At 34.4% G+C, this 25909-nt stretch overlaps 1 protein-coding gene across 15 annotated transcripts in view; it reads left to right on the forward strand.

Annotated features, from left to right (window-relative positions):
• CTNNA2 (catenin alpha 2) overlaps positions 1–25909 on the forward strand; it is a 1463404-nt gene that overhangs the window by 1407315 nt on the left and 30180 nt on the right. For 14 of the 15 annotated variants that reach the window (NM_001399737.1, XM_024452714.2, XM_011532556.3 and 11 more), the window contains 2 exons: positions 11383–11488; positions 15493–15627. In NM_001399737.1, coding sequence (NP_001386666.1) covers positions 11383–11488; positions 15493–15627 — 241 coding nt within the window. The remainder of the gene's footprint in view (positions 1–11382; positions 11489–15492; positions 15628–25909) is intronic. The other variant, NM_001164883.2, reaches the window with a different exon arrangement.

Genomic DNA, 25909 nt, shown 5'->3' on the forward strand with positions numbered 1-25909 from the left:
TGCAAATACCCTTTTTATGTGCTATATCTCATTGGAGAGTCACATTTGGTATTAACATGTTAGAGGTATTGAGAAGGCATAAAAAATACGTTGGATTAACTCAGAATTTGAATTTTGAATATTAACTATATTAACTCAGAATATACTGAGGCATAGATTTTTCACCTTAGTACTTATTACCTTCTCACAAAATAAATGTGAATTAGTTCATAAATGGTGATGTGACAGCAGTAATGCGGTAATACTTTTCCTTGACTTTCTTTTTTGGAGTGACCACTTCACGGGAAAGACTCCAGATACTGACCTTTGCATCAGAATTACCTATGTCCTAAAGAGAGAAGGTTTCAAGAATCTATATAAGTAGAGATAATTATATGACTTGATGCTCTTTCCAAGGAAACTAAAAACATACTCCAGATGGGACAATATGATTGCTCCTGCATTAAGAACATGAGATTACCCATAGCATCTTTTACAAACCCACAAAATAGAAAATCTGGTCTAAGGTAGGAAAACACAAGGGCTGTGGGTCGCAATTTTAAAATGGGGAGATACAACCAACGTGGCCAGTCTTCTTGTCGATATTGTCTTCCACGGATAGGAAGACTCAAACTTCTGACGCTTTCATGGATGTGATTTTTTTTTTCTTTTGTTTTTTTGTTTGTTTGTTTGTTTTGCTGTTGGCTATTTGTTTCTTGTTTCAGTCCCCACCTCACATTATCTAAATGACTGTAGCTCATTTTGACTTGTGCTGTCCAATACAGTAGCCACTAGCCATATATGACTACTTAAATTGTTTTTCTATTATGGTATACATCATGAAGTTTACCATCTCAATCCTTTGTAAGTGTACATTTCTATGGCATTCAGTACATTTACACTGTTGTGCAACCATTACCACCCTCCATCTCCAGAACATGTTCATCTTCCTCAACAGATACTCTGTACTTACTGAATGTAAACTCCCCATCTGCCTTCCATTTCTATGAATTTGACTAATACAGGTATCTCACATCAGTTGAGTCACACAATATTTGTCCTTTTGTGACTGGCTTATTTCATTTAGCATAATGTCTTCAAAGTTCATGCATATATTGTAGCATATACTCAAATGCGTTTCCTTTTAAAGGTTTAATAATGTTCCATTGAATGCATGTACCACCCACATTTTCTTTATCCACTCATCTCTTAATAAGCACTTGGGTTGCTTCCACCTTTTGGCTATTATGAATAATGCTGCACTGTACATGAGTGTATAAGTATGTAAGTTCCTGCTTTCATTTCTTTTAAGTGTATACCCAGAAGTGGAATTGCAGGATCATATAGTAATTCTTTTAAATGTTTGAGGAATCACAATATTATTTTTCACAGTGGCTGCACCATTTTACATTCCCACCAGCAATACACAAGTGTTCAAATTTTTCCACAATGGTCAAATTTCTCCACATCCTTGCCAAAACTTGTTTTCTGTTTTTTTCTTGATAGTAGCCATCCTAATGGATGTGAAGTGGTGTCTCATGGTGGTTTTAATTTGTATTTCCCTAATGATTAATTATGTTGAACAACTTTCCTATGCTTATTGGCATTGTATATCTCCTTTGGAACAATGTCTATCCAAGTCTTTTGCCCATTTTTTAGTTGGGTTGTTTGTTTGCTTTTTTGTTGTTGAGTTGTAGGAGTCCTTGGTATATTCCGGATATTAATTTCTTATCAGGAATTACAAATTCCTGATAAAGAATTACTATTTTCTCTCATTTTATTGGTTTCTTTTTCACTATTTGTTGATAGTGTTCTTTGACACACACAAGTTTTTAATCTTGAAGTTCAACATCTTTTTTTTTCTTTTGTTGCTTATACTTTTGGTGTCATATGCAAGAAATTATTACCAAATCCAATGTCATGAAGTTTTCTCCTGTGTTTTCTTCTTTGAGTTTTATACTTTAGTTCTTATGGTTAGGTCTTTCATCCATTTTTAGTTAATTTTTAAATGAGGTATAACATGAGGACTGCTGCTGCTTTTGCATGTAGATAATCCAGTTTTACCAGCACCATTTATTGAAAACACTGCCCTTTTCCAAGACCCAAATCTTAGCAAAAATCTTAGTACCTTTGTGGAAAATCATTTGACCTTATATATATATATAAGGATCTATTTCTGAACTCCATTCTATTCCATTGGTCTCTATGTCTGTCTGTATGCCAGTATGACACTATTTTGATTATAGTAAGTTTTAAAATCAAAAATTGTGAGGTCTCCAATTTTTGTTCTTTTCAAGATTGCTTTGGCTATTTGTGTTGCCTTGAGAGTCCATGTGAATTTTAGGATGGATTTTTAAATTTTGGCCAAAATGCCTTTGGGTTTTGATAGGGATTACAGTGAATCTGTAGATCTCTTTCAGTAGTATTGACATCTTAATATTAAGTCTTCCAATCCACATTTATTGAATGACTTTCCATTTATTTTTGTAATTTCAACAATATTTTGTAGTTTTCAGCATGCAAGTCTTCTGACTCCATGGTTAAGCTTATTCCTAAACATTTTATTTTTTTGATACTGTTCTAAATGGAGTTATTTTCTTCATTTTCTTTTAGGATTTTTTTATTTACTAGTGTCTAGAAACATTTTGTATCCTGCAACTTGCCTGAATTCAATTATTAGTTTTACCAGGACTTTTTTTAAAGAATCTTAAGCATTTTCTACATGTAAGATCATGTCACCTGTTAACAGAGATAATTTTGCTTCTTCCTTTCCAATTTGAATGCCTTTTAGTTCTTTAACTTGCCTGATTGCACTGGCTGGGATTTCCGGTACTATGTTGAATAGGAGTGGCAAGAGCAGGCATCCTTGCTTTGATCCTGGTCTTAGAGGTAAAGCTTTTATTATTCACCATTGAGTATGAATAAAGTAAGCTGTGGGTTTTAAAATTTTCATTAAGATGAAATAAAACTGAAACACTGTTTGACAGTTTTTTTTAAAGCTAAAAACCTGTGGTGGTATTTCTGAGGTCTCTGTTATGTTCTGTTGGTGTATATGTGTGTTTTGGTACCAGTACCATGCTGTTTTGGTTACTGTAGCTTTGTAGTTTAGTTTGAAGTCAGGTAGCATGATGCCTCCAGCTTTGTCCTTTTTGCTTAGGATCGTCTTGGCTATACAGGCTTTTTTTGTTTCACATGAAATTTAAAGTAGTTTTTTTCTAATTCTGTGAAGAAAGTCAATGGAAGCTTGATGGGAATAGCATTGAATCTATAAATTACTTTGGGCAGTGTGGCCATTGTCACAGTATTGATTCTTCCTATCCATGAGCATGGAATGTTTTTCCATTTGTTTGTGTCCTCTCTTATTTCCTTGAGCAGTGGTTTGTAGTTCTCATAGAAGAGGTTCTTCACATTACTTATAAGTTGTATTCCTAGTTATTTTATTATCTTTGTAGTAATTGTGAATGGAAGTTCACTCATGATTTGGCTCTCTGCTTGTCTATTGTTGATGTGTAGGAATGCCTGTGATTTTTGCACATTGATTTTGCATCCTGAGACTTTACTGAAGTTGCTTATCGACTTAAGGAGTTTTTTTGGGCTGAGACAAGGTTGTTTTTTTTTTTTTTTTTTTTTTTTTTTTTTTTTTTTTTTTTTTTTTTTGAGACGGAGTCTCGCTCTGTTGCCAAGGCTGGAGTGCAGTGGCGTGATCTCGGCTCACTGCAAGCTCCACCTCCCGGGTTCATGCCATTCTCCTGCCTCAGCCTCCCGAGTAGCTGGGACTACAGGTGCCCGCCACCATGCCCGGCTAATTTTTTTGTGTGTTTTTAGTAGAGACGGGGCTTCACCGTGTTCGCCAGGATGGTCTTGATCTCCTGACCTCGTGATCTGCCCACCTTGGCCTCTCAAAGTGCTGGGATTACAGGCCTGAGCCACCGCACCAGGCCAACAAGGGGTTTTTCTAAGTACACAATCATGTCATCTGCAAACAGAGACAATTTGACTTCTTTTCTTTCTATTTGAATACACTTTATTTCTTTTTGTTGCCTGATTGCCCTGGCCAGAACTTCCAATACTATGTTGAATAGGAGTGATGAGAAAGGGCATCCTTGTCTTGTGTCCGGTTTTCAAAGGGAATACTTCCAGCTTTTGCCCATTCAGTTTGATATTGGGTATGGGTTTGTCATAAATAGCTCTCACTATTCTGAGGTATGTTCCATCAATGCCTAGTTTGTTAAGAGTTTTCAACATGAAGTGATGTTGAATTTTATCGAAGGCCTTTTCTGCTTCTATTAAGATAATCATGGTTTTTGTCACTGGTTCTGTTTATGTGATTAATTACATTTATTGATTTGCCTGTGTTGAACCAACCTTGCATCCCAGGGATGAACTCAACTTGATCATGGTGGATAAGCTTTTTGATGTGCTGCTGGATTCAGTTTGCCAGTATTTAACTGAGGATTTTTGCATCGATGTTCATCAGGGATATTGGCCTCGACAACCATCTGATCTTTGACAAACCAGACAAAAACAAGCAATGTGGAAAGGATTCCCTATTTAATAAATGGGTACTGGGAAAACTGGCTAGCCATATGCAGAAAACTGAAACTGGACCCCTTCCTTACACCTTATACAAAAATTAACTCAACGTGGACTAAAGACTTAAATGTAAAACCCAAAACCAAACAAACAAACAAACAAAAACCCTAGAAGAAAACCTAGGCACAACCATTCAGGACATAGGCGTGGGCAAAGACTTCATGACTAAAACACCAAAAGCAATTGTAACAAAAACCAAAATTGACAAATGGGATCGAATTAATCTAAAGAGCTTCTCCACAGCAAAAGAAACTAGCATCAGAGTGAACAGGCAACCTACAGAATGGGATAAATTTTTTATAAATTACCCATCTGGCAAGGGTCTAATATCCAGAATCTACAAGAAACTTAAACACATTTACAAGAAAAAAAACACCACCTTCAAAAAGTGGGCAAAGGATATGAACAGACACTTGTCAAAAGAAGACATTTATGTGGCCAACAAACATAAAAAAAGCTCATCATCACTGATCATTAGAGAAATGCAATTCAAAACCACAATGAGATACCATCTCATGCCAGTCAGAATGGCGATCATTAAAAAGTCAGGAAACAATAGATGCTGGCAAGGCTGTGGTGAAATAGGAATGTTTTTACACTGTTGGTGGGAGTGTAAATTAGTTGAACCATTGTGGAAGACAGTGTGGTGATTACTCAAAGATCTAGAACCAGAAATAATACCATTACTGGACATACACCCAAAGGATTATAAATCATTCTACTACAAAGACACTTGCATATATGTATGTTTATTGCAGCACTATTTACAATAGCATAGACTTGGAACCAACTCAGATGCCCATCAATGATAGACTGGATAAAGAAAATCTAGCACATATACACCATGGAATAGTATCCAGCCATAAAGAAGAATGAGATCATATTAATTGCAGGGACATGGATGAAGCTGGAAGCCATCATTCTCAGCAAACTAACAAAGGAACAAAAAAACACCACATGTTCTCACTCATAAGTAGGAGTTGAACAATGAAAACACATGGACACAGGGAGGGGAACAACACACACTGGGGCCTGTCAAGGGTTGGGGAGCAAGGGAAGGAAGAGCATTAGGACAAATACCTAACACATGCGGGGCTTAAAACCTAGATGACAGGTTGATAGGTGCTGCAAACTACCATGCCACATATAAAGCTATGTAACCTGTACATTCTGCACACATAGCGTAGAACTTAAAGTATAAAAAAAAAAAGAATCTCAAAAAACTAAAAAGGGATTTACTACAGGACCCAGATATTTTGCTCTCAGACATTTATCCAGAGACGTAAAAACTTGTATTCACCCCAAACCCTATACCATAAACAATTACGTCAGGTTTATTTGTAATAGTCCCACACTGGAAACTACTCAAATGTCCTTCATTGGGCAAATGGTTAAATGGTTAAGCAAACTATGTTACATCTATGCCACAGACTACTACTCAGCAATAAAAATGCATGCAATGATTTGGATAAACCTTTAGATAATTATGCTGAGTGAAAAACAGTTATCTCAAATATTTCATACTGTATGATTCCATTTGGATGGCATTCCTGACATAACAAACTTGTAGAGGTGGAGAAGAGATTCATGATTAGGAATATGTTAGGAGTGGGTTAAATGGTATAAACAGTATGAGAGAAACTTGTGGTAATAGTACGGTTCTGTGTCTCAATTGTAGTAGTTACATGAAGCTATACTTACACAAGTGCATAAAAAATAGTGAAAGATGAATATTCCCTATGGATTTTACCGGTATCAATTTCCTGGTTTTGCTATTGTACTGCAGTCATACAAGATATTAACATGAGAAAGGCTGGGAGAAGAGTGAATAGGACATTTCTATACATATCTCTGAATTTCCACAGAATCTGTAATATTTCAAAATAAAAAGTTAAAAATAGAAGACAAACTTAAATAAAATTAAACTTAGTTCCTCAGCCACACTAGCCATATTTTAAGTGTTCTATAATTACATGTGGCTAGTGACTCCATATTGGATAGTGCAGAATTATAGAATGAACATCATTACAGAAATTCTGTTAAAATTGCTATAGGCACTCGGATGTCTGAAGGAGCTTTAGAATCCACTTGAAACCTATGCGATGATAGCATTAAAAGAACATGCTACCCTTGCTACATAAGCCAAATTCAAGGTCTTCTCTTTTAAAGATATGGTTATTATTCCACAGTTATTCTTCAGCTACCAGTAAGGGCAGCCACACAATCTGTTATGTAAGCAAAAGGAAATGAGTAACTTTGGTCCCCTACCTCCAGAAATGGCACAACTATTTTTTTTCTATTTCCCTTCTCTTCTGTTCATGATGTGGGGAAACTGGGTCATGTCACTAACTTTGTGCTCATTTAAAGAAACCTGGGCCTTGAAACTTTCTTAGAAGGGTGTTGCATCATGCTCAGAACACATATGAGATATTCAGGATTTCCCAGATGATTCAAATAATTTTCTTTATTTTACACATGACTTTAACTGCATTTTAGTAGTTCAAAATTTTTTTTAATGTTTATTTATTTTTATACTTTTTAGGGTACACGTGCACAATGTGCCGATTAGTTACATATGTATACATGTGCCATGCTGGTGTGCTGCACCCATTAACTCGTCATTTAGCATTAGGTATATCTCCTAATGCTATCCCTCCCCACTCCCCCCACCCCAAGTAGTTCAAATTTTTATGAATATTTAGACAATAGAATTTGGTAGTTGACAATTTTTCTCATGTTATTTTTCTGGGTATTTTTGCATTCTGTGTTTATATTTTATAGTAATACATTTACTTATACAGAATTTAAAGATAAAAGGGAATAAAATTTAAAAATAAAATTGTTCGGGAAAGGATTAACTTTTCAATGTATTGTCCAGGGACAATTGGTTACTGGTTGGAAAAATAAAGAGTGTGATTCCTATCTCACCCTATACAAAAGGCATAAACTGTAGGTGGATTTAATATCTAAATATAAAAAGGAAACTTTAAAATTTTAGAATAAAATGGAAGGATATTTTCAATTACCTTGGGATAAGGAAGAGCTTCTTAAAGGAATGTATGAAAAGCACAAACAGTAGTGTAAATGATGAATACATTTGACTACAATAAAATTAAAATTTATATTTTAAAAACTGTAAAAAAAAGAAACCTAACATATAGACCAAGACTAGGAGTAATTTGCAGTATAACAAAAGATCAGAATCCAAAATATCTGAAGAGCTTAGATAAGCAATTTAGAAAGAGTCAATAGAAACATATGCAAAAGATTTGAAAAGACAACTCAGAGAAAATATATAAATCATTAATAATGATCAATAAATGATGAAGAGACTCAGTCTCCTCTGTCATAACAGAAATGAAAATTATTTTTTTAATAACCATCAGCTTGACAAGAAAAAGTAAATACATTTTAACGTCTAAACGACTGAACATATCTACAGAAAAATAAATATGCCACTTTCCGCCTCCTTCTGGGCTCAAGCAAACCTCTCACATCAGCCTCCGAGTAGCTGGGACTATAGGATGGTCTTGAGCCCCTGGCAAGTGATCTACCAGCCTCTGCCTCCCAAAGTGCTGGGATTACAGGTGTGAGGCACCTGTCAGTATACGACTTTAATTAAAGTAACTTGTACAACTATCACCCAGCTCAAGAAACCTTCATAAACCTTTTCTAAGTCCCAATACCTTTATTCTCGACTAGTTGTAACTATTACCTTGAGCTTTTTCAAGATCTGATGACGGTCTACAGGGGAAAAAGCCCTGAACTTTGTAGCATTTGCTGATGTCCAGGAAGTAAATATTCCCATTATGGCAGATTTCAAGCTCCCAACATTTCAACTGGCTTGCCCAGTTCCTAAAAACCTAACAAATAATTCTCGTATGTATAAGCCTACTCCAGCACTCATGTCAATTCTGTCATTTCTTTGGGTTTTTTCTTCTTTTTGTCTGTGTGTGTGTACCACCTAAGTGAGCATCTTTAAATAGTTTTGTTTTAGTTGCTTCTGGGAATATCAATATTATGTAACTGAATGAAATTACTTTCCTTCTGATATTCTGGAAGAGTTTAAATAGCATTGAGATTATCTTCTCTTTAAAGGTTTAGTTAACTCCTGTAAGAAACCACCTGGATTTAATGACTTTTTTCTTTCTTTCTTTCTTTTTTTTTTTTTTTGATGAGTTCTATCTGACAACTTTGTTTCTTCCATGGAAATCAGACTGTTTTGATTTTTCAGAATCTCCTTTCTGGTCTGTTTTGATAATTTATATTCTCCTAGAAACTTATTTCATCTGTTTTCACATTTACTTACATATATTTGAGAAAGCAGCTTTGTGATACATTTTTTTGTTTTCTAAGGTTATTGCTGTCTTATCTTTTTTACTTTTGGATATTTTTCTCCTATTATTTCTTGATAGTGTTCTAAATATATTTTCTATATCTTTTTGGTTTAGAGCTAGTTTTAGGATTTATCCATAATTTCTAGTGTTTTGTTTTCTGACACATTAATATCTGTTTGTAATTTTATTAGTTTTTTTCCAACCTCTTCTTTCTGAATTCTTGAGCCATCTATTTAGTTAGTGTTTTTTGTAACTTCGTGTGTATTAATGTATGTAGTTAAGGCTACTTGTTTTTCTCTGAGCACGTTACTTTAGCTGTTAAGAATGAATCATATTTAGAAAAAAAGTGTACTAAATTATGATTCAGGACACACAGACTTCCATCCTGTTTCTCTCTGTGCGTAGCAGTGTCATTTGGGCATGTTACTTTGTCTTCCTCCCTAGATTTCAGCTTCCCCAACTGGAAAATGAGAAAATATTTGATCTCAGAACTTCTATTTTGGTCTCTAATTTTATGAAATATACCCTCATACCCATGTTGCGACTCCAGTAATTTGAATTGAGTCTACAACATGAATTCTAAAGTCTCAAACTTTTTTTTTCCTAACATACTAGTAAGTCTATGAACTGTAGTCTCCGGTGTAATCAAAAAGACATGCTTCTTTTCATTCTTTGTCTACAATATGGGGGCCTGAGCATCAAGCAGATTCAGGATCTATATAGACATTCTTCATTAACTTGGAACATTTTGTCAGAATCAATCAGCTGGTGGAAGTTATTATGGAACGTTCATGAGGAAGCATTTTCCAAGATCCTTTGAAATTCTTGAAATACACAATTGTTAGCAATGCAGAATCAAACAGAATGCAGTCTTATTGAATGGGTTAAGATGAAGTTACAACAAATATTGTGTCAGAGTAAACATCAGAAAATAGATTTTCTAAGGTCTAGAAGTTACAAAGAAATATGCAATAATGAGAATATTATTAAACATTGACAGATTCTGTATCCAAGTGTTCCTTAAAAAATAAAAACCATTTATTTTGCGCTAATAAAAATATGTTAGGGAATAGCAAACAGATTGTCACAGAATGTTTAACTCATCCATATTACATAAAATTCACAAGTGAAATTACTGTCTGCATTTTAAAATCTAAGTAGCAACTGCAAAATCAAACTACTTTGTGGAAGAGTTAACGTCACTACAACAAAATGAAATACCTTAAGTTGTGTGTCTGTCTTTGTATTTAAACATTAATAGAAACCCAGTATATTTTACTTATACTGACTAATGTAGAAAAATCCAAGAAGGTGAGTTAGTAGAGAAATGGAACAAAATATCATTCATTTACATTAGTTTACTGAAAGACATTTTGTCTTCTATTTTATAAAATGTTATTATGTAACAATAGCAATCATTGCCCTCTCTGTATAACCCTACACGGTCTGAATAAATCCCTTCTGAATAGTTTTTCTGTACAGCTCACCACATTTCTAACTACAGGAATGTAATCTTACAGCCTTAAAAAACACATTGATTTTTATGCACATAAAGAGACCAGGTTAATTAACGATGCTAAAAATGATAAACATAATTTATTCTTTACCTCTCACAATAAGGGAAAGAAAAGTTATTACATGCTATATTTTGTTTAAAGATTTATGATGCAGCATAATTTCCATTTCCCTTATAATAAATATTTAAAAGACATATAATATTAAACACTTCACCTAATTGCAAACCTTATATGAAAATATTAGGGTGATGGTTTGGAAGCACAAAAACATTTACTGTCACTCAGTGCTTTGTACGTTCTTTCATAAATCAGTATCGGAAGCCCACAGGCCAACAAAACTCTGAAATTCTGGCCAAACAGTTCCCAGTTATGTGCAAGAGATAATTGCTTCTCAAAGTGCCAAACTGGACTTAAAATTTAAATAATAGAATATAAATATGCTGGACATGAGTAGGAAGATAAAGCATATGCATTTATTTTGGCTAGAGTCTGCTTAAAATTTTGAATTTTTTACTTATGACCTGTATAAGCTTGGATAAGTTACTAGATCATTTTGGGCTCATTTTATTTTCTAAATGGGAGTGATGATACCTACTTTGTAGAGTTGTTATAAAGTCAGAATGAGGTAGTCTGTACAACAGCTTTTGGTACACGGTAAGCAACTATAAAATTTTCATTTCTCTTGTGATGATCTTTTATAACTGGCCATTGTTTAGAAATATAGAACTTAATGTAAAAGATAAAATGTGAACATGCACATAAAAATATGGGAAAATATTTCCAAAAACGACTACTAATATAGAAACTGGAGTTAAGCAGGAAAATATTCAAAATTCGACTAATGTGGCCAGTGCCAAATAAAATACAACACTAGACTCCTGGACAAAGGATATGGTAGGTTGGTCTCTTTCCCGTCATTAAGTGGATTTCTAATTATGTTGTATATGTTGTTTCAGAGGCAAAGGCCCATTGAAAAATACATCTGATGTCATTAATGCTGCCAAGAAAATTGCCGAAGCAGGTTCTCGAATGGACAAATTAGCTCGTGCTGTGGCTGATCAGGTAATAGAAGAGGGAAGGGTGGGCACATGCTGAGTGGAGTCACTAATTAGCACTTGGGTTTTGTAACTAGTTTTATGCACCCTATAAAATGCCTCTGAAGAATGAATCAGAGGGGAGAATCACTGATATTTTACACACTGGTATCTGCCTCTCCTGACACTGTGCTAGTGGCAAACGTAGATTTAGCTCAGGAGAGAATGCTAAGGCTTCTGACCAAAATTCCTTGAGAAAGAAGAACATACTACTTAGGAGACATCAGCCCCTGAAGAGTCACGGATTGTCCCAGGCTTCCCCATTCAGAAAGGCAACTATACTGCATAATGAAGGGGGGAAAAGCAGGTTTTTAAATTTTCATTGTTAGGCTCTTGGTTTAAATATATTTTCAGAGATTCCTACCTAATGCCCTCTTTTGTTTACTTCATGGTGCTTATCACATTTAAAAAATATATATTTATTATTGCTTTACTTTTATTTTCTGTTGCCCCCAGGAAATTTAGGTTGCACATTTTAACTGCCTGACAGAATGAATAAAGGAGAGAAAAGAGCAACCTGCCTTGTGGTCAGGGAACTGAATTAGCAGAGCTTTAGGGATGTGATGGGTCATGATTTGATGGTTTCTTTAAAAAGTTGTCGCGGACTCTACCAGGAGTAGAATGGAAACTGGGGGTAGGACAGTCAGGGGCATTTGGAGATCAAAGGGCAGAAACAGGTTGCAGAATCTGGGAGAACATCATGTTTTTAAATGTAGAAATAAGAAACTAGAACTTCACCTTTTCTTATTTAATATGGCTCTCACTCTAATGATATTCTTCATAATAACTTATGCTCCACCATAAACGGGATTATTCCACATGATCAAGAACCTTCAGATTTCAGCTTTATTCTAACCCAGACTCAGAAGCATCAGAGATAAATGAAATTCTCAGAGTATCTCTTAATGCTTTCAAACCAAACTAGGATATACATTAAAAGAGTTCTCACCTTGAATGTTTATTTCCATACTTTTCGTTTTATTTGGCTTGAATTGGAACTTTAAAATCCTGTTCTAAATGTTTTGTTGCAATTATGGTCCATTTCTTTTAAGAGTGCTTTAGGTAGTAGACTTTTCCAGGTAACTAACAGTTATCCCTATAAGCAATAGTGATTTACAGTTTGAACCACTTTGGATGGATTGTATCATAAAATATAAGTTTTGGAAATAAAATATTATATATGCTACTATCTACATGGAAATATTAACATGAATTTGCTTAGTATACTGCAGTACATTGATGCAAGCTGGAGATACTGAAAGAGAATTGCATCCTTCTCCATATATGGCTCTAGTCTCTGATGATCTGATGATTTTTGAGTCTTTGTGTTGCTTATTGTAGTTTTCCTCCCTCATTCCTATATATAAGGGTTGCTCCTCTAAATACTTACTGCCTCAGCATCCCAGGCTCTAACATCCTTCATTCAAGTCAATACCAAATTCACACACCTTTAAAGGCTGAAAAAACAAAACAAACAAAACCCCTCATGATTTTACTATCAGGATTGCACTTAAGAGTCAAGAGTCAACGAATTCTCATTTTAATTTTATTTTACATTTAAGATGGCTAATCCAAGAAATTTTTTTAACTTTTGACTTTTGGAGAAATGCTTATTGGTTGAGATAACTCAAGTACTATGAGAATTTGAGAACTGCTTACAATTTGTAGGTGTTGAGTGTTAACCCATTGCTATTGCCTAATTTCAGGGCAATATCAACCATGAGGCTTCACAGCATAAACTGAGGGTTTTTTTTGACAGACTTCCATAAGTATTCCAGAAAGTTCATGTAGAGGAGGGAAGAGACAATGAATTTACTTGAAAGTATGCATACAAAAAAATTACCAACTAGAAAAGGCCACATTCTTTTTCTGCAGATGTTGAGAAGAGTTGGGACGTGTAGAGTGACCAGAAATTGGCCATCCACCAATTTGTTAGGAAGGACTTCTTGGGAGTGAAAATGAGCGGAGTTTGAATGGCTGTTTCATTACACTTTAAATCTCAATGGTCAAAAGTATTTCTCGGCATCTTTAGGCCCTTCAAGTTCAATAGTTTTGGTTGTGACTTTTGTTTTTGATTTTACCTTTTTGGGCTTTTATTTTCAACTATGCAACCTAAAGCATAACTCAAAACAGTTGATATGTGAAAAACACATCAAACACACACACACACACACACACACACACACACACACACACACACACCCCCCAGGATACATTTATTTTGAGATTCAGTGACAGAGTATTTAAATGCTACTATTTCACAGTGACTCAAAATAAACGGATTAAGTTTAAACCTAATCCTCTTTGTGGCATTATTATTGTCATTAGCTGTGAAATAACTTGCAATTTTTGATAAAGAAATCTTCAGAAAAAAATGTTATCAAATTCTGCACCTATTTCCATGATTTAGGAGTTATTTTCCTTGATTCAACATGCCTTTTTAAATGTGTATTTTAACTGCTTTGGTTTAAATAATAGAATAGAATGAGTATTATCAAGGACTGGATTGGTTACATTTATTTTGCCGGAAAATATTTTATAAAGATTTGAGATATGCATGCCATATAAACTTTTTACGGACTGTTGCATTTTTAATTACTGTTCCATTGAGATAGAACTTTCAGTTTAATTTGCTGCAAGGTATTTGTATCAAAAGCCTTGTCAGCCCTCTGGGGAGATATCATTTTAAAGTTAATCCCTTTCCGTGTATGGGTCCCTGGAGTAGGATAAATATTACAGTATGAAGTACTTGTAAGAAGCTAAAAACAGTCTCTGTGGAATTCTTTCTTGATAAATGCAGTTAGTGAAAAAATACCACAATGGTAAGTGTTAAATATAAAAAATATCCCTTTATCATTTATTCAGTAGATGGTTATATGTAATCACTGGCTTTACAGTATTGATAAAAGAATTTCCTTTCTTGAGCTTGAGGGAAACTTAGCTCAGAGTCTTTCTCCCATCCTCTCATTCTAAATAAGATACTTCAGTTGTGGCTGTAGGTACTTATTTCTTATAGTATTAAGGATCTGGTGATTTTATGTCCTTTACAAGTACCAAATTGATACAGAACAATTAAATGGCCTGGAAGTAGCTCAAGCTGAACCTTTGATAGCAAAAGAAATATGTAGGCATCTCAATTCCTCGGTAGCCATTGGCAATGAAGCCTCAGAAATGTTTTCAGGAGTCATGTCAATGTCTCTAGAAGTGTTCAGCCAAGCTCTGTGTGTGCTTGATGGACACCCGCCTACTTCGGTCATAATGAAAATCCAAACTCCTTAGCCAGAGTTGACTCCGGTGCGTCCATCAAAGGACTCTGTTGCTACTCTTATGAACTTCTTTCAGCTGGCTTCAGATACATTCTGTCAAATCTGTTTTTCTTACAGTAGTCATGAACCATTTCAGTCTCTCATTTAAAGGCAGGTTATTATGTTGCTTACATTTTGATAAATATTAAATTCCAAAAAGTGTAATAGATTTTTTATAAGTGAATGATACATTTATTAGAGAACAAAGGAAACAAATTGATTTTCTTCCCCCAACTAACTGGATTGAAACTGTCCATTATGCTTGGCAGAGAGTGCCACACAAAGTGATTTACTTTTAGCATCCTTTGGTCCTCTGCATTAAAATAACATTTCACATAGTGAAAGTTGAAGGAAACTGTAAAATATTTAGGTTTCTTTAGAGTTTAGAAGACAGCAGGTAAAAATACTCATAAACATGTATAGAAGTCCCAATAAAACTTTCTGGAATATCTTCAATTTTCTTCTGATAAAATTTTATTAAAGTAGAGCCAACCATTCTAAACTACAGTCTGTGGCCTTTCTAAAATGCACTGTGAAAAAGTTAAGTTAAATGAATGTAATTAAGGTATATGACACTGAAAACTTTTCTTCCTGCAGCTTTTCTATAACAAATGTTAGAAACTGAAGAGTACTTACTAATCAAGATCACTCTTTTAATGTTTTATAGTGTCCTGATTCAGCATGTAAGCAGGATTTATTAGCCTACCTTCAACGAATTGCCTTGTATTGCCATCAGCTTAATATCTGCAGCAAGGTGAAGGCAGAAGTGCAGAATCTGGGAGGAGAGCTCATTGTGTCAGGGGTAAGCTGGACTTGGGCTTCACAATGTAAAGTTCCCACCGTTGCACTTCCAAGGCAAACATTCTTGGCAACAGTACTGCTAAAAACACCAAACTACAGTGATTTATAGGGAGGGCTTTTTTTAAATAAATGTTATCACCATTATTCCAGACCTTACAATAACTCACAAAGAGCAATTTGATTTTCCAATTACCCTGTGTTTATTCTAGCCTTGTAAAATCTCCATTCTTCACAAGAAAACTAATTTTGTAGTCTGGAAACTCATTGCCAAGCTGTGACTATTGTAATTATTTGGGGCTTTTGTATATTTACTCATTGTGAGTCTACTTCCTTTTGTTAGTCCTAGTAATTTTCATTCTCTGTTCAGGAGCCAGCCTCTCTATGTGTGGATTGTGTTCACATGTTAGAGATGATGAAAACAATAGGAATTCATTCATCAGGTTCCAATGCATACTAGGTTATCAGTAACCCTTGAAAGCCAGAAGATGTTTGAATTTAATACAGGTTGATGTGCTGTTGCCAAAAACTAACATAATTGTCGAACACTAACAATTATATATTCTTTGCTCAATCACTGCAGTGTTTCCTTTCTCATGAAAATATAATTATCTGGTCCATTTTTATCAAATGCATAGAAATAAGTTCAATGAATATTTAGAAGAATCACAATTTCTTGGCAAGATTTCCAAATATGTGTTGAGGTTCTTCACCTTGGCTTCTTCTCCTCCCTCAACCCCTTTCTCTCAACACAGGGTGCCATTTGTTGCAAATTATTTGCAAGTCCAGAAATGTGGCTCTGACACCTTAGTTCTTTTCCCAGTCAGACATGATGATGCTACCATTTCAAGTGAGTAATTACCAGGCACGTAATATTATCAGCGTGGTGAATACCTTATGAAAATCAGACTAGTCACAAAGCTCAGGTCTTCCTGAAGCCATTTTTGGAAATTTAGAAGTTTGGCCATTTGGTAAAAACACGTGAACAAATCATTCTTGAACCCAACTGTTTTTGTTCCCATATTGTTTGAGTTGCAGAAAACATAGCTGGGAAAAGAACTGATCTGGCTTGCATAGAGACACCATCTGGAAAGCCTGTTTCATGCAGTCCCACCTAGAGCCCAGTAAATTGGCTATTTTGTGCCTCTTCCCAAAGCACAGTCACCTCTTTGCATTTCCAAAATGATCCTGCTTCAACATTCTTCAGCAACCAAGAGCAATCTGTCTTGCAATGTGTCCTTTCTGCCAAGCTGGTAATTACCAAGATTCTCTCGCCAAGAAGTGATCAAATCATTGCATCTTCCTTGCTGCCTTTCTTATCTTCAGCCTTGATGGTATAGTTTCCCATACCACTCAGCTTTCATGTCCATCTGTATATAGCCCCTGTGGAACTGAGTGCTTTTTGTTCAGCTTGCCTTGTGTGCTTTCATTTGTTACTTTCCAATCTTATTATTTACATGGATGCGCAAAGCATCTTTGTGGATCTCAGACTCCACAACCTCATCTGGGCAATTTTTACTAGCAGAGCCGCTCTCCATCATCCTCTCAGTACCCATTGTTTGTCACTGCCTCCAAAGCTTCATTTCCATTGTCTTTTTCTCATTTAGATGTAGTCCAAACCATCACTGGCTTTTATCACTTGCACTGTTGGCTTTTATAGAGGTGTTTGAGATTGGGAACACCATCAAGAAGCCTGTTCCCTTCTTTGAGTCTTGTTGGTAAAGTTCATAAATCCTTGCATGGGAGAAGGCTTCTTTTAGAAGAATGTTGTTCAACTTGATAATTATTCTGAGGCAAATGCATTATAAATATTTGCTATATATGCTCTGTCATGGGCCTGCTCTTGGCTTCCTCATGATTTATTCCAAGCTTGATTGCTGTTTGGTGCCACACCTACATCTATAGTCTGCTGTCTTTGCCAATTCTGCCTCCATCTTTTTCTTCATGCTCCTTCACTGATGGCCAATGGAGAAAAAAAATGAATATGCTTACTGTGCAAAATAGCCACAAATGACTGCTTTCAAAGTTCTGAAAGAGTCAAGAATGTGAGACCCCATACACACACATTTTCAATGATTTTGCCAAGAAAATTACACCCATTTATTCTGTCATGTGGCATGGCAAAGTTGCTGTTTTTTTTCAGAAGAAGCCATCATAGTTTAATGTACAATCAAAAAAGAAATACTTAAATCTTCTTTCTTTTTTCCCTGTGTTTATACACATGGGATTCAAAGCCACGGCTTCTCTGAAATATATGAAAGCCCCCAGGAAAGTTACATTTGTTAGAAGTCAACCTCTCTACCCAAACAGAAGAGATTTGGACATATTATTTCCATTTTGCCAAGAAAAATGATTTTGATGTCAAAACAGAGAGCCACGTTTTTAGTCTTATGCTGGCATGATGAACATATGTTAAGCAAAATGCGCAATTATGTCTTATGTCAGCGTGTTTTTGTTTTATGTGATTCTATGTATACAAACTGAGAAAGGCCTCTTGTCTTGTGTCTGCTTTTGGCTTGAGAGGTGGGGACAGATAATTCAACAGGTCACGGAGGAGAATGGATACAAAAGCTCTCCAGGCATCATGACGGCGATCTGGAGAAATAAAGCAGTCCAGGATGTGTTTCTGTGTATGCTCATCCACACAACTGCTATCTAAGAAATACCATTGGTTTCCTACCTGGCAATTAGGTTTTTTTTTTTGTCATTGGCTTAAACCTGTCTCAACCAAAAAGTGACATTCTTATTAAATCTCAAAGTAGAAAATGCATTTGTGAGCCAATTCAGCTTAACCCGGTTACTAAGGGAGTAATGGAAAAGAAAAAATATGATAGAATTGTTAAAGTGAAAGTAGAGGAAACTGAGTTTCAGAAGATTAAACCGTCTATAAATTGGCTTTATTTATTTGCTTAGTTTAATGTTTGCTTGAATTCTTAAGCCAGTTTACAGGCTTTTTTGAGAAAAAGAATATTGAAAGCAGAAAGAAAGATAAGGAGGGGAGGGGAGGGTAGAAGAGAAGAGGCATAAAAGAAGAAGGTAGAAGAAAAGAAAAAAGAAAGAGAAAGTTAAAGATAACATGTCTTGAATTAGTTTAGTGCAAGTAATGTCCATTAAATGTGACAGCATTATCTTATGGGAGAAAAGTTAAGCCATATATTTTTTAGTATGTAAATACTATTTTGAATACAAATATGTTCCAGTATCATAATATGGGTATTACCTGTATATTTAATTATCATGTTTTTGACTAATTTTTGTTTGCTAGGTTTCACAGGGTTTAATCAGCACCTTTAAAGTTAAAAATGGAGATGTATACATGGATCTGGAAAAATAAAAATCATTCCATGACCTTTAATATTTTTTAGCTACCCAAAGATTTATACAGAGCGTATGATTCTGAACAATATTAGAAATACTAATGTAGGACTTTTAAATTAGCATACTGAATATCAAACATTCTGATAAACCTAATAAAGCCTACCTAAACTGTTTTTTTAAAGTTAAAAGATAACAGGAGCTTCATTATAACAATGAAGTCAGAACATAACAGCAATAACCCTACTTTGATGAGGAATTCAATGTTCAGGATGTAATTTATGGCCAAATGTACACAAAAATGGTACAAATTTTAATAGATTTTATTACATATAAATGTCTCTGTATTAACAAAATATTTGAGTCAAGTTTGGAGGTGAGGAATGCTAGTTGCTTAAGTCCTTGGGCTGAATGAATGGATTACTGACCTATTCCTGAGAGATTGAGAAGCTTGCCCTAATATGTACTTTTGTTCTTTGCCATTTAAATATCTCTTTTCCAAATCTGAATTCCTCTCAATTGGGTTTAGGGGAGAGGTTTGACAAGGTGAGCAAGTTTAACTTGGGACACTGGTAGGATTTGAATTGGTAAAGAGAAGATTGGAGACTGAGGGGTCAATTATAGTAATTCTTATTGCCCACGTTTCACATTATTTTAAAAAATTGGACTCTAATTACAATCAACATGAATATTCATGATATAGGTAATATACATTCCTAAAAATGTTGGAAACTGATAATATTCAAATCAACTCTACCTGACACTGTCATATATTCAAAGATGCATATGTGCATACAAACATACAAACACAGAGCACAATTGATTTGATATTTACTCTTATACCCTCAATAAACCTTAGTGAAGTGGTCAGGAACTGAACAAGATTGATAAGTATAAACTATCTGATCCAATACAAATTAGGGAAAAGAAAATGTGGGATATATTTTGTACAATAATATATATATGGTTTGTTGAGATGAGAATTACATTGTATTTGAAGAGCGTTGTGTTCCTTTTATTTTTAAAAAGTGCCAGTATTTTGTAATGAGCTAAAACAGCCATTGAAACAAGAATTGCATCTAATTGTGTAGACCTGTACATTAAGCAACCTTTTTTTCTTAATTTTTATATCTTCTATTTTGTCTATAGTCAATTCTTCATGATCTCCATGGATCAAAGTGTAACAGTAATGAAAAAAATCTAAAGTGCTAGCTATTTCAATTTGGGTTTGGAATGCATGTTAGTGTTTCATTTGAACAAAAGGGTAGATGTTCTAGGAATTCATAGCAGTTCAAAATAATTTTATCCAGACCTTCCGTGCTTAAAGGACCTTCCCTTATGTAGGAAAAGTTGCAGTGTCCAAACCTAGAGAGAGTAAGATAAAAACAAACTTCAGATTGTAAATCTGGATGTTAGGCATAGTGGAGAAATTGTGACAAATGAAATGAGTAGTTACCTTTTACAGAGTAAATGGCAGTAGTTCTTTGCATATACTTTGCTAGTAAAATGAGTTGTTGCATGATTCCATATTTTCCCCAAAATCCATTCCCCAATCTGTTGATAGTGAAACTATAACCATTTAAATTCTGATTCCTGCATTAAGTCTTCCTTAGTTACATTCATACCAGTATGAATGGTCATTGATTTCTGCACAACCCAAATTATAGACACCCTCAGAGGGAAATAACCTTTCTATGGTTTTTTTCACTGAACATTCATTCCCCCAGAGTGTTAAAAGTGACAGTTTACCAATTCAAGACTTGTTTTTGGAAGAAATGGGAAGTTAATAGGAATTTTAATGAGAAAGTAAAAATTTCTTTGGGTGCTGGGCATCATAGAAAGCTTTGTGTCTTTTGCACTGCACCTGTGTCTGTTCTCTGAATTCAGACAGTCTTGTACGAAGGAGTCTGGTATACTGCTCCACTATAGAAAGTGACTCTTCAGTTACATTTTCTGTGATGGTCACCCTAAACTTACCAATATAATCAGTTATGGCCATTAAAAAAAATCAGTTATTCATTGATGGAATTAAAGCAGTTGGTTATCTAACTGAATTGTTTAATGCATAGGGAAATACTATGTTCCAATATACTCATTTTAAAATAAGAAAACATACTGTGTTGTGGCAAAGCTAGGATGCAAATCAAGCAAATAACTCTTCTTACCTTAACTGGAGACATGGATTGACCTTAATTCGATCTACTACTCTGTGGATGGATTTGATTGTGTCACCTAAACTTGTGGGCTGACGAGTAATTTCTATTTTAGTTTGAGGGCATTACTGCTTGTAACAGCAGGAGTTAGTAGCTTTAAGAAGAGTGTCCCCTGAGATATCAGTGCCATTACTTGTCATTCAATCAGTAAAATTTCATTCCTTTGGGTCTTAGAATTTTTTCAAGTTTTGAGATGCTCTAATTAAAAGAAGAAAGGTAAATAATTGACAACTTAATTTATTATCAATTAATGCCTTAGATTTCAGTTGATATTCTGAGAATGATTTAGTAGCCAATTAGCAGTAATACTTTTTGAAAACTTGGAAATTGGACACATGGGAGGTACCTGGATGAGGGGAGGTGATTGCATATACAGTTGGCCTTCTGTATCTGTGAGTTCTATATCTGAGAATGCAACCAACCTGGGATTGAAAATATTTGGAAAAAAATAAAAGTAACAATACAGCAATAAAAATAGTACAGATAAAACACAATGTAGTACTTATATAATATTTATGTAACATTTGCATCATAATAGGTATAAGTGATCTGGAGAGGATTTAAAGTATACAGGAGGATGTGTGTAGGTTTCATGTAAATACTATGCCATTTTATATCAGAGACTTGAGCATCCTTGAATTCTGGTATCTGCTAGGGTCCTAGAACCAATCCCCCATGGATACCAAGGGATGACTGTATCTTGGGATATGTGTAAAACCCAGACAAACCTATTTAAGAAGTATTATTTTATAAAGCTTCCCCATAAGACATATCCTAATTTTGACTACTTGTTCATATATGAGAATAGTCTGATTTCATTCCAAGATTTTTTTTAAATAATTTAAAAATACTTCAAATAATGTTTCAAATTATTATTGCTTTGAGAAGTGTCTTAAAAGCTACCCTCTCCCCAGTTTTGAACCAGTTTTGGATCTGTAAGAGCAAATCCAAATACGTTCAATGTAATGTTTCCTTACATTGAACCAAATAATTATGGGAAGCCAAAGTGTTGAGTGAAGACCTTTATTTAGAAATGGTGTCTGTAAATTCAGCCCCTGTAAACACTTGAATTTTTCAGTTCTCAGCTCTAGTCAAGAAACAGATTATTTAGAATTGGTTACTTAAATGCATTGTGATTTTTTTTTTCTTGTTTCTACTGGGGCTTACCCCAGGAATTCCTGGACTGAAGTCTGTTGAAGAAAAAAGTTGATATGTGAACAAGGTGATATAATGTGAATAGGCAAAAGAGAAGGGATATTGAAATCATATGCTAAAGATTATCTGGGGATTTTGTCATTGATTTTACACATCTTTCCATTACCTTAGCTGGTTAAAAATAAGATAGAATCCATAGCAAAACTGAGTCAGGATTTTTTTATTCAGTACTGGATTTGATAACATTTTGACAATAATATTTTTCTTAAAATACATCAGTTTCCATAAGTCGTTTCTAATTTCCAATGGCAAACAATCAGAGATTCAAAGAGCTGCATTTATTTGTTGTTCACATAAGAATATTTTCTGATTCATTCACTGAATTCAACATTTCCATTGCATCCCTACTATGTAAAAGGCACGGTGATATATTTTGACTGAGTTGGGAATTTAAAGTCTCTTTATCTCTAATACCAAATAATTTTCATGAAAAGGATAAATTTTTCTGTCCCTTGTGTTTTTATTAGACTGTGTAGTCTATGTTTATTTTTTTTCCATTTAGTTTCTCAGCTTACTGAAATAGGGTTTTCAGCTAGAATAGCAGAGTATCTGTTGATGGCTATTTCTGTGCATTCGTTGTTTTCTTGGTTTACTATATGCTAGAAATAAAAGTGTGTTTAACTTACTGTTGTCTACATTCTGTCCCTGCAGATTATTTTGTCAAGTGCTTTTTCCAGCCTAAGTTAAATCATTTATAAAATATGACTTTGAGTGCAGCCCTTAGAAAAGAAATATGTGCCACTTTATGGCCCATGTATCTTACAAATAAGAAAGTTTCCGGATGGGCAATGTGGAGTTTCTTTGTTCAGATTTCTTTTACTGCATCGGAACACATTGTCTTACTCTATCTTAAATAGTAATTTTCCTTCTGGGCTATAAATATATCTCAAATACTTCATCCTAATTCTATTTTCTTGAAGGCAAGCTTTCTTAATTCAGACTTTTAATCTTTTCTTTTATCATCAATACTGTATCTTGTTTTATTAGTTTTCTCTGAACACCTTCATCTGTGCAGATGCCTTGCTGATAATGAAATTGACTGGAACTCTGGCTAGATGTCCTGTCAAATCGGAACAACCTGTCTCTTGACCTCTTTCATCCATTTTCTTTGGCAAATCTCTTTTGCAACTGAGAATATCCTGGAGAAGTTATGGTCAACATCGTCTTTTAAGAACCATGTACGTTTGTCAGCCCAAATTTCTGTATGTGAGACGCTACCATAAAACAAAATCAAAACATCTCTTTATCCGAGAACTTCCAATTTGAATCTGCTGCTATCCACATTTATTGGAGCCCCTCTTATTGAGATATTTCTCTTCAATTATAACATTTTGATCAACTTACATGAAAAAAATGCCTGACCTTGTCTTCCATGATGAATGCATCTGCAGATTGTTCTTTTGGAATGCACATGTTATTCCACCTGACTTTTCTCAATCTTTTGTGCTAAGAAGCTAAACAACTTTTTATTAACCTCAAAGATTTGAGACCAGCCCTACATCTGTCTGGTCAGAATGAAATTACTACCGTGACTATAATAATGGAGTCTTGACTACTGAAATCTTGCAAACACTTCATATCTTGTCTTAAAGGGCTACTTACCCATTTCTGAAATATCATGGGAAGTATACAGCTAATCTACAGTTGGAGTAGAGCTTAGTTTTCATGAAAAATGTCAAGAGGCTAGATCCTGAGATTTGGAAATTATCTGATCCTGGCATTGCATCCTGTATCAAAGGCAGTTTTATTATTTTAACTAATATCATATATAAAGGCATTATTATAATATCACAATCAATCATACTAAATTCACCTAAGAGGTCAGCACAGTTCACCACTCTGCATCCTTTTGATGCAGCCTAGTTTTGCATTGGGTTCCTGAAGTCATTTTCCATTTCCAAAGAGACAATAGGCAATTATAAGAAATGCCAATAGACAATCTAAGTTCAGTTTGTTTTATTTCAATATTTTAAAAGTGTTTAACTCCATTTTTATTTTAATATCTTAATGCTGGGAGAATTGTACCATCTGTATTGGGTAGTAAAAACTTAAGGTGTTTATTGGAAGAATGGACAATTGCATCATTAATCTTAATGAACTTTAAATTTTTTATGAGATGATCCAAGTAAGTTTCTAATACGTAATAATTTTTAAAACTGAGAAATTGTGCTAAGTGACTAATTTATTTCCTACAATGGGAAAAATCAGAAAATCCCTAACTTATAAAACCAAATGAGATTGTTATAAAAAATCAAAGATAAGCCAACTAGTCAATGATCCAATATGTAAAAGTGGAGAGAAAATAAAACTTCATAGGGCCATTAATTGCAAAATCTCACACACAAAAAAAGCTGTTGAATATATAATTTGAATTTAGACTTAGAATTGTTGAAAATAAAAATAATAAATGATACAGCAAGGAAAATATATGCAGAGTATCATTGCCTCTTCTGTTAAGTACAGAAAAAGTCAAATATAGGCAAAACACCCATCTTTTTATATGCAAGACTTTTTTTTCTTTTCTATTTACTTTAATTCTTTAAAGACATTCTTTAAATGTCTCTAACATTTATTTTGAAGTGAAAAATGGACATGATGTTGCCAAATCCATAATCAGTTTGAATTTAGTAGCTTCTGTGTTTCAAACTGCTCTCTCATCTGCCAATTTTGCTTAATTTTAAATTGCAATTATTGTAATACACTTATGTATTTAGTACGCTAAGAATGATGGGCTTAGAAATAGAATTATATTGGCTTAAAACAGAAAAATCCCAAATTAAGATTTTTGTTTATCTGTATATAGAAACAGGCTTTGGTTTTTAGCCATTTATGATGCCATAATTTGCAAGCTATTGTTTTGAATGTCTAGGTTTCCTAAATTTTTTTCTGTGGAAAGAGATGGTTTCACTTTTCATGTATTCCACTAGTCAGATGAAGGCCTTTTATGTGGATGGTTTCAGGATGTGCCTGCTCTTCAATAGTGTCTGTTACTTTTGTTTTGCCATAATCAATAACTTTGAGTATTCTATTTTAAACTCCTAAATTTTCATTGAAAAAAAATACTTTAGTGGTCTACATACTATTCTCATGCCTTTTCTTGTTTTTCTATGAAAACTAGACTTGGTAAATAAAGCTATGACTAGAGCAGAAATCGTCCATGACAAAAACATTTTGGTCAGTTGGCATCACTGGGTCATGTAACTTGACCTCTGAGAGTGACAGTGCATTTTTTTATGATTGCAGAAAACTTGCCATTTGATTTTTTCTACAGTTCTGAAGATGAACTCTAACTACTCCTTTTAGTTGTATATTTGATACACGCAGAAAAAGTCAAGATTGTAACATTTTATATTGAAAGAATCTTATGAAAAGACTCTAAAGGTAGAAAAGGGCATTGGTTATTGGCTTATCCTTTAAATTATGCCCCTCACACAATCCACCCTTGGGTTAAAAGGAACAGTCAAAAGAGTTGCAATTGTAGCAACAATGAATGCATTAGTCCTTCAGTGATCCCAATGAAAGAGGTAAGTATCCCCTTAGTAG

This window comes from Homo sapiens, chromosome 2, assembly GCF_000001405.40.
Source record: "Homo sapiens chromosome 2, GRCh38.p14 Primary Assembly".
NCBI classification, from domain to species: domain Eukaryota; kingdom Metazoa; phylum Chordata; class Mammalia; order Primates; family Hominidae; genus Homo; species Homo sapiens.